Source organism: Homo sapiens, chromosome 7 (genome assembly GCF_000001405.40).
Source record: "Homo sapiens chromosome 7, GRCh38.p14 Primary Assembly".
Lineage (NCBI taxonomy): Eukaryota > Metazoa > Chordata > Mammalia > Primates > Hominidae > Homo > Homo sapiens.
Genome location: NC_000007.14, coordinates 73,364,864 through 73,374,311, shown reverse-complemented (window position 1 = coordinate 73,374,311; position 9,448 = coordinate 73,364,864). Strand labels below are relative to the sequence as shown.

The window sequence follows — 9,448 nt, the reverse complement described above, 5'->3', positions numbered from 1 at the left end:
ACACACCACCACGCCCAGCTAATTTTTATTTTTATTTTTTGTAGAGACGGGGTTTCACTATGTTGCCCCGGCTGGTCTAAAATTCCTGGCTTCAACCAATTCTCCTGCCTCCGCCTTCCGAAGTGCTGGGATTATAGGCTTGAGTCACCACCGTGCCCAGCATACATCTGCTTTCTGAATATTTGAAAGGCAGAAGGCACAAGGCGTGACAACTGATGGGATTTGGGATGTAAAGAGCAAGAGAGGACTCAAGCACAGTAGGCTCGAGGTTTCTAGCCCCGGCTGCTGTCACCAACCACTCTCAGGAAGGTAGGCGGAAGGTTACGCAGGAGAAACCGGAAGGGGTAGTTCTGAGGCCCCAGGGGTGTGGAGCTGAAAGTCCAGGGAGGAGCGGTGAGGCTGGAGGAAGGTGAGGCTGGAGGAGCAGGTTCAGGAGGCTCTGAGGTAAAGATGGAGGCTGGGGCCTTGGGAGTCGAGGAGTTTACCCAAGACGAAGCATCTGTGTGGAAGAAAAGATGAGGCTAGGCGCAGTGGCTCGCGCCTGTAAACCCAGTACTTTGGGAGGCCGAGGTGGGCGGATCATCTGAGGTCAAGAGTTCGAGACCAGCCTGGTCAATATGGTGAAACCCCTTCTCTACTAAAAATACAAATATTAGCCGGGTACAGTGGTGCGCACCTGTAATCCCAGCTACTCGGGAGGCTGAGGCACGAGAATCGCTTGAACCCGGGAGGCGGAGGTTACAGTGAGCCGAGATCATGCCACTGCACTCCAGCCTGGGTGACAGAGCAAGACTCCATCTCCAAAAGAAAAAGAAACTACAAACATCATTGAAAGAAACTAAAGAAGACCTAAATAAATGGAAGGAAATCATGTTCATGGATTAAAAGACTTAATATTATTAAAATTTCAATACTTCAGAAGTGATCTACAGATTGAACGCAATCCCTATCAAAATCCCAGCTGTGGCCGGGTGTGGCGGCTCATGCCTGTAATCCTGGCACTTTGAGAGCCAAGGTGGGAGGATTGTTTGAGCCAAGAAATTTGAGACCAGCCTGGCAACATGATCTCTACAAAAAATATAGAAATTAGCCAGGGGTGGTGGTGTCAGCCTGTAGTCCCAGCTACCCAGGAGGCTGAGGAAGGAGGATCGCTTGAGCCCAGGAGTTCGAGGCTGCAGTGGGCTATAATCACGTCACTGCTCTCCGGCCTGGGCAACAGTGCAAGGTCGTGTCTCAAAAAAACATCCCAGCTGCCTTTTTTTTTTTTTTTTTGAGATGGAGTCTCGCTCTGTCACCCAGGCTGGAGTGTAGTAGCGAGATCTCGGCTCACTGCAACCTCCACCTTCCAGATTCAAACGATTCTCTGGCCTCAGCCTTCCAAGTAGCTTGGGACTACAGGCGCCCACCAACGCTCCCAGCTAAATTTTGTATTTTTAGTAGAGATGGGGTTTTCACCATGTTGGCCAGGCTGGTCTCGAACTCCTGACCTCAGGTAGTCCACCCGCCTCAGCCTCCCAAAGTACTGGAATTAAAGGTGTGAACCACCACGCCCAGCCTGAAAATAAGTGTTTAAATAAAAACATACACAAATGTTCATAGGAGCTTTATAAAAGGCAAAAAGTGCAAACATGCCAAATGTTCACCAACGAATGAACAGATAAAAGATGTTGAGTAGCGCCATATAATGCAATATTATTCAGCCATACAAAAGAATGACAGGCTGGGCGTGGTGGCTCACACCTGTAATCCTAACACTTTGGGAGGCTGAGGCAAGCAGATTGCTTGAGCCCAGGAGTTCGAGACGAGCCTGGGCAACATCGGGAGAACCTGTCTCTACAAAAAATACAAAAATTAGCCAGGCGTGGTGGCACGTGGCTGTGGTCCCAGCAACTTGGGAGGCTGAGGCAGGAAGATGGCTTGAGCCGGGGAAGTCGAGGCTGGAGTCTGCTATGATTGCATCATTGCACTCCAGCCGGGGTGACACAGTGAGACCCTCTTAAAAAAGAAAAAAAAAAAAGCTGGGGGGGTGCCAGGTGCAGTGGCTTATGCCTGTAATCCCAACACTTTGGGAGGCCAAGGTGGGTGGATCACAAGGCCAGGAGTTCGAGACCAGCCTGGCCAGCATGATGAAACCCTGTCTCTAATAAAAATACAAAAAATTAGCCGGGTGTGGTGGTGGGCGCCTGTAGTCCCAGCTACTCTGGAGGCTGAGGCAAGAGAATTGCTTGAACCTGGCAGGCAGAGGTTGCAGTGAGCTGAGATCGTGCCACTGCACTCCAGTCTGGGCGACAGAATGAGACTCCATCTCAGAAAAAAAAAAAAAAGGAATGACGGAATGACATATGGACATGGATGAACCTGGACAGTATTGTGCTAAGTGAAAGAAGCCAGACACAAAAGTCTACGTATTTAATGATTCAATTTTTTTTTTTTTTTTTGAAACAGTCTGGCTCTGTCACCCAGGCTAGAGTGCAGTGGTGCAATCTTGGCTCACTGAAAGCTCTGTCCTCTGGGTTCAAGTGATTCACATGCCTCAACCCCCCGCGCCCTGCCTCAAGGTAGCTGGGATTACGGGCGCCCAACACCACACCCAGCTAATTTTTGTATTTTTAGTACAGATGAGGTCTCACCATGTCGGTCATGCTGGTCTCAAACTCCTGACCTCAGGTGATCCACCTGCTTCGGCCTTCCAAAGTGGTGGGATTACAGGCATGAGCCACTGCGTCTGGCCAAATATGATTCCATTTCTATGAACCATAGAAAAGGCAAATCTGGGCCGGGCGCGGTGGCTCATGACTGTAATCCCAACATTTTGGGAGGCAGAGGCGGGCGGATCATTTGAGGTCTGGAGTTTGAGACCACCCTGGTCAACATGATAAAAACCCCGTCTCTACTACTAATAAAAAATTAGCCGGGCGTGGTGGCGTGTGCCTGTAATCCCAGCTACTCGGGAGAGTGAGGCAGGAGAATCACTGGAACTCAGGAGGCAGAGGCTGCAGTAAGCTGAGATTGCGCCACTGCACTCCAGCCTGGGCGACAGAGGGAGACTCTGTATCAAAAAAAAAAAAAAAAAAAAAGTATATCTGGAGTCAGAGTTGGGGAGTGACTGTTGTGGGGTGAGGGTTTCTTTTTGAGGTGATGAAAATATTCTGGAATTAGATAGGGTGATAGTTGCACTGTACTTAAAAAACACACTCCCTGAATTGTATACCTTAAAAGAGTAAAATTCAGGGTATGTGAATATCTCATTTTATTTATTTATTTGAAACAGAATCTTGCTCTGTTGCCCAGGCTGGAATGCAGTGGTGCAATCATGGCTCACTGCAGCCTCGAACTCCTGGCCTCAAATGATCCTCCTGCCTTGGCCTCCCAAAGTGCCAGGATGATAGGTGTGAGCCACTGTGCCCAGCCAGTATCTCAATTTTTTTTTTTTGAGCTGGAGTCTCGCTGTCTCGCCCAGGCTGGAGTGCAGTGGCGTGATCTTGGCTCACTGCAAGCCCTGCCTCCCGGGTTCACGGCATTATCCTGCCTCAGCCTCCTGAGTAGCTGAGACTACACATGCCCGCCACCATGCCCGGCTAATTTTTTGTATTTTTAGTAGAGATGGGGTTTCGCTGTGTTAGCCAGGATGGTCTCGATCTCCTGACCTCGTGATCCGCCTGCCTCGGCCTCCCAAAGTGCTGGGATTACAGGCGTGAGCCACCGCGCCCAGCCCTCAATTTTTTTTTAAATAGGGAAGAATATATAAAGATATTGTCATGTAAAAATTGCTCACTCTCAGCTGGGTGCAGTGGCTCACGCCTGTAGTCCTGGCACTTTGGGAGGCTGAGGCAGGAGGACTGCTTGAGGCCAAAAGTTTGAGACCGGCCTGGACAACATAGCAAGACCTCATCTCTCCAAAAAGTAAAATAAAATAAATTAGCCTGGTGTGGTGGTGCACAGTTCTAGTCCCAGCTACTTGGAAGGCTGAGGTGGGAGGATCACTTGAGCCTGGGAGTTTGAGGCTGCAGTGAAGTATTATTGCGTCACTGCGCTTCGGCCTGGGCAGCAGAGCTAGACTCCATTAAAAAAATATAAATTGGGTTGGGCACAGTGGCTCACGCCTGTAATCTCAGCACTTTGGGAGGCCGAGGCAGGTGGATCACCTGAGGTCGGGAGTTCGAGACCAGCTTGACCAACATGGAGAAACCTGCTCTCTACTAAAAATACAAAAAATTAGCCGGGTGTGGTGGTGCATGCCTGTAATCCCAGCTACTCAGGAGGCCGAGGCAGGAGAATCGCTTAAACCCAGGAGGCGGAGGTTGCGGTGAGCCGAGATCACGCCATTGCACTCCAGCCCGGGCAACAAGAGTGAAACTCCGTATCCAAAAAAAAAAAAAAAAAAAAAAGTCACTCACTCTCCTTGAGGCATGACTAAGAAAATGCTAACAGTGAGAAGGGCCTAGAATGGGTGAGACACAAGGATGAGTGGGAGGGCACTTGTTGAACCTCAGTTTTGAATTGTGTGAATGGATTACATTTTCAAGACATAAATAAGTGGAATAAAATGAACGGATCTGGCTCTGGGTGAGAGGAAGAGGCAGGCTTGGAGGACTGTCACATTTGGAAGGAGGCACGGGGCTGTGCTTGCAGGTAGAGGATGGCAATGGAGCCGGTGGGGCCAGTGTCACTGGCACAGAGGAAGAGGCATGTCTGCCCCTCAAGGACCCAGAGGAGGCAGTGAGGGTGGGTGAAGATTCAGGAGTAGGAGGAGGTGTGAGGGAAGGGGTCTTTGGCCCGTGGGAGGGCTTATTTCCCACCTGGTGGCTTTTATTTTCTCTGGGCCTGGAGAGGCGTGGGGCTGCCTGGAAGGGAAGGGGGATGTGGGCATCAAGAGGGAAGCTGGGAAGGGCCTCCTTGCAGAATCAAAAAGGAGCCAGTGACGCAGGAAAGGGCTGCTGAGTAATTCTGAGGTTGGAAACGCACCTCGGTGACTTTCACGTCTATTCCATGGAGCCGGAGTGAGGCTCTCTGTACGCACCGTGGAACACTGTGCTATTGATGGCTGTGAGCTATGGACTGTGTCCACACAGGGTCGCCCATCTAGGCGCCTGCTTTATAGTCCAAATGCCAGGTGGGGTGGGGCAAGTGGACCTTCCAGTGCCCTTTGAGGAGCTGCTGCCAGGAGGCAGGGCCACGTGTGTGTGTGAAGAGGGGATGGAGGTGCCTGGCCCAGGCAGAGGTGCACAGTGTCCATGAGGGTCAGGGGTGCCCCCTGAGATGGCTCCTCCTCTAAACTGGGTTGGGGGCTGGGCGTGGTGGCTGATGCCTGTAATCCCAGCACTTTGGGAGGCCATGGCAGGTGGATCACCTGAGGTCAGAAGTTCAAGATCAGCCTGGGCAACTTGGTGAAACCGCGTCTTTACTAAAAATATAAAAATTGGCTGGGCGTGGTGGCGGACACCTGTAATCCCAGCTACTCAGGAGGCTGAGGCATGAGAATCGCTTGAACCTGGGAGGCGGAGGTTGCAGTGAGCAGAGATCCTGCCACTGCACTCCAGCCTGGGTGACAGAGCGAGGCCCTGTCTCAAAAACAAAGCAAAACAAAACAAAAACCAACCTGGGTTAGGGACCCAAATTGGTTAGAGGACGTAGAAGAGGTAGGTGACATGGCTTAGGGTTTCAATTCTTCCAGTCAACTGTGATTTTTCTTTTTTTTTTAGACAGGGTCTAGTTCTGTCACCCAGGCTGGAGTGCAATGTTGTGATCTCCGCTCACTGCAACCTCCACCTCTCAGGTTCAAGCGATTCTCCTGCCTCAGCCTCCCGAGTAGCTGGGACTACAGGTGCGCACCACCAAGCCTGGCTAATTTTTGTATTTTTAGTAGAGACGGGGTTTCACTATGTTGGCCAGGCTGGTTTTGAACTCCTGACCTCAAGTGATCCACCTGCTTTGGCCTCCCAAAGTGCTGGGATTACAGGCGCGAGCCATCGTGCCTGGCCTCAACTGTGGTTTTTCTGACAATTATTCACAACTATGTTTCAAAACCTCCCTGCATTTCTAGCCAACGGGTTGCTTTTGGAGGCCCTGGGGCTCTCCCGACACCCCCTCTGTGTGTCTGGCAATGCGCAGGTGCACCTGAGGGTGTCATCGGATCTGAGGGCCACAAACAGCATCAAAGGAGGGAGCCCCGTTGCCCCCGGTGGAGAAAAGCCACAGAGCATGACTTTGTTCACTCCATGTGCCCCCCGGCACTTCCCTGGGTTGGTGACTGTCTTCAGAACGGCAGCCTGCAGGCCTGCCTGGGGTCCCGTGGCAGGAGTGTGACCTGGCACACTCCAGGGGCCACCACCAACCTGGATGGTGGTCAAAGAAGGCTGCCCGGAGGAGGAGGTGGAGCTTCAGCTGTTTTTTTCTGTCCAGGTTTGTGTGTGTGTGTGTGTGTGTGTGTGTGTGTGTGTGTGTGTGTGTGTGTTTGAGTCAGAGTTTTGCTCTTGTTGCCCAGGCTGGAGTGCAGTGGCGCAATCTCGGCTCACTGCAACTTCCACCTCCTGGGTTCAAGTGATTCTCCTGTCTCAGCCTCCTGACTAGCTAGGATTACAGGCCCATGCCACCACGCTGGCTAATTTTTGTATTTTTAGTAGAGATGGGGTTTCATCATATTGGTCAAGCTTGTCTCGAACTTCTGACCTCAGGCGATCTGCCTGCCTCGGCCTCCCAGAGTGCTGGGATTACAGGTGTGAGCCACCGTGCCGGGCCTATGCATGTATTTTTAACTACCTTCTATGCGTGGTTTTTGTATAAGGAAATGAAAGTATTTCTTTGAAAACATGAGAAAGGAATATTTTAATACCAGGCAAAGAGGAGAGTTCCTGTAGTTTTGTTTGGACTGGGAAAGAGTTCACTCCTGTGCTGAGGGGCCCCTTTTCCATGGCTACTGGGGCAATGGTGCCTGGACTCCTGGGTCCTGCCCCCTGAGGCTTGTGAACTGTGGGGCCTCTGCTGTTTTGGAAAGAGGCGGAGAGGCAGTCCAGGAGGATCGAGCCGCTGGCGGGAAGGCACGGGGTGGGGGTGGCCGCTGTGGACATTCAGGACCCGCAGTGGTTCAGTGCGGCTGGAAGGCAGAGAGCAGCTGTTGTGGGGGGTAGCAGGTGGGCTTCTGTGCTAAATAGAGAGTTTGGTCTTGGTCTCAAAGGCTACTGAGGCGACTCAAGGACTTCCAGCTGGCGGGAGGCAGGGCTGGCAGGTGGAGAGGGGAGGCCGTGGGGACAGTTTGGCAGTAATCAATCTAGGTGAGAAGTGTTAGCATCCCATCCGGGCAGGGCAGGGAGATGGAAAGGAGGAGTGGGTACCTGAAGCCACAAAGCCCAAGGCCTCAAGTCGGATGGGGCTGTGGGGAGGAGGGGCAGCAGGACAGAGTCTGGCTCAGGGGCTGGGCAGCAGGTGGAGATAAACGACCATTTTTTTTTTGAGCCGGGGTCTCGGTCTGTCGCCCAGGCTGGAGTGCAGTGGCACAATCATAGCTCACTGCAGCCTCAACCACCTGGGCTCAAGTGACCCTCCTGTCTCAGCCTCCCGAGTACCCAGGCCACAGGCACACGCCACGACCCCTGGCTAATTAAAACAATTTTTTTTTTTATAGAGACAAGGTCTTCCTATATTGCCCAGGCTGGTCTCAAACTCCTGGGCTCAAGCGATCCTCCCGCCTTGGCCTCCCAAAGCTCTGGGATTACAGGCGTGAACCACCATGCCTGGCTGATAAGTGACTTTCCTGTACCTTGTGTGGAGGGTACTGAGGTCCACACTGTGTGTGTGGCGGTCTCTTGACCTGTGTAGGAGGCGTTTTGAAAAAAACCAACCAACCCAAGTTTGGCGAGCCTGTTCAGGAACAGACCGCGACTGCAGCCACCTCTGAGACTTCTCCATCTCATCGCCCACCTCAATGTGAGAGCCCACATGAAGGTCAGCGTCAGCGACTTCACACTCCACTGGCACTGCTTGAGCACCCACAGCGCGCCCAGCACAGAGTGACAGAAGCTCCCTTGGGACAGCCCTCATGGGCGCCACTGCAGTGATGCTGGGGCTGTCACCTGGCAGGAGAAAGTTCAGGGCTCTTTCTGGAATGCCATATGGCCCCTTTTCCAGAATCTACCTTTTCCACTGTACTTGTTTTCCAGAGACTGGCCTCCTGGTGCTGCTCCTGTCTTTGGGATTTCTCCAAAAGCAGCTACTAAACCTCCAGCACCCCCAAGCTCTTTCCCTTTTTGGGAGGTGACTGTCTGGGTCTGAATGGTTCTCCTAACTAGAGGGGCCGTTCTGCCTTGACCTGAGCAGTGGGGTAAGTTCAGCAGGAGGGAGTGGGAAGAGGGGCAGGACGGGACAATGGAGATTTGACTCAAGCCCCCCCACACCAATGCCCCTCCGCAGCACATTTATATTTTTATTAATTCCATTTTTTCCCCCAAGATGGAGTTTTGCTCTGTCACCCAGGCTGGAGTGCAGTGGTGCGATCTTGGCTCATTGCAACCTCCGCCTCCTGGGTTCAAGCAATTCCCCTGCCTCAGCCTCCTGAGTAGCTGGAATTACAGGCACCCGCCACCACACCCAGCTATTTTTTGTATTTTTAGTAGAGACGGGTTTTCACCATGTTGGCCAGGCTGGTCTCGAACTCCTGACCTCGTGATCCACCCACCTCAGCCTCCCAAAGTGCTGGGATTACAGGTGTGAGCCAATGTGCCTGGCTTTCATTTTTATTTTTAACAATATTTTCTGGCCAGGCGCCGTGGCTCGCACTTGTAATCCCAGCACTTTGGGAGCCCGAGGTGGGCGGATCACTTGAGGTCACGAATTCGAGACCAGCCAGGCCAACAAGGTGAAACCCCCATCTCTACCAAAAAACACACACACACAAATTAGCTGGGTGTGGTGGCGCATGCCTGTAGTTCCAGCTACGCGGGAGGCTGAGGTGGGAGAATTGCTTGAACCCAGGAGGTGGAGATTACAGTGAGCTGACATCGCATCACTGCACTCCAGCCTGGGCCACAGAGTGAGACCTTGTTTCAAAACAAAACAAAAAACAAAAAAAATTTTGTTATTTAAAAAAATATATAGAGGTGAGGTCTCACTCTGTGGCCCAGGCTGGTCTCAAACTCCCGGGCTCAAGCAATCCTCCCGTCTTCGCCGCCCAAAGTGCTGGGATTGCAGGCGTTAGCCACTGTGCCCAGCCTCAGCTGCACTTTCAGTTTGAATGGTTGGGAATTAAAGAATATCACATATATAAGATGAAACACTTTTTGGTTTATTACAATATTTATATTATATATATTATATATTGTTATTTATCTGCTGACATTTGACATTTCTGTCTCTTTCTAGAGTGTTTGCCTCCTGGACACACACACACACACACACACACACACACACACACACACACTGGCTTAGCGGTCGCCGTGGGTGAAGTCCCTCTGCT

The 9,448-nt window shown here is 51.8% G+C and overlaps 1 annotated feature.

Moving 5' to 3' along the window:
* Positions 7,762-7,871: an enhancer, noted in NCBI's record as "active region_26121". NCBI's record gives its function as "activates an Ori minimal core promoter by ATAC-STARR-seq in GM12878 lymphoblastoid cells {active_cell/tissue: GM12878}" and the evidence as "EXISTENCE:reporter gene assay evidence [ECO:0000049][PMID:35858748]".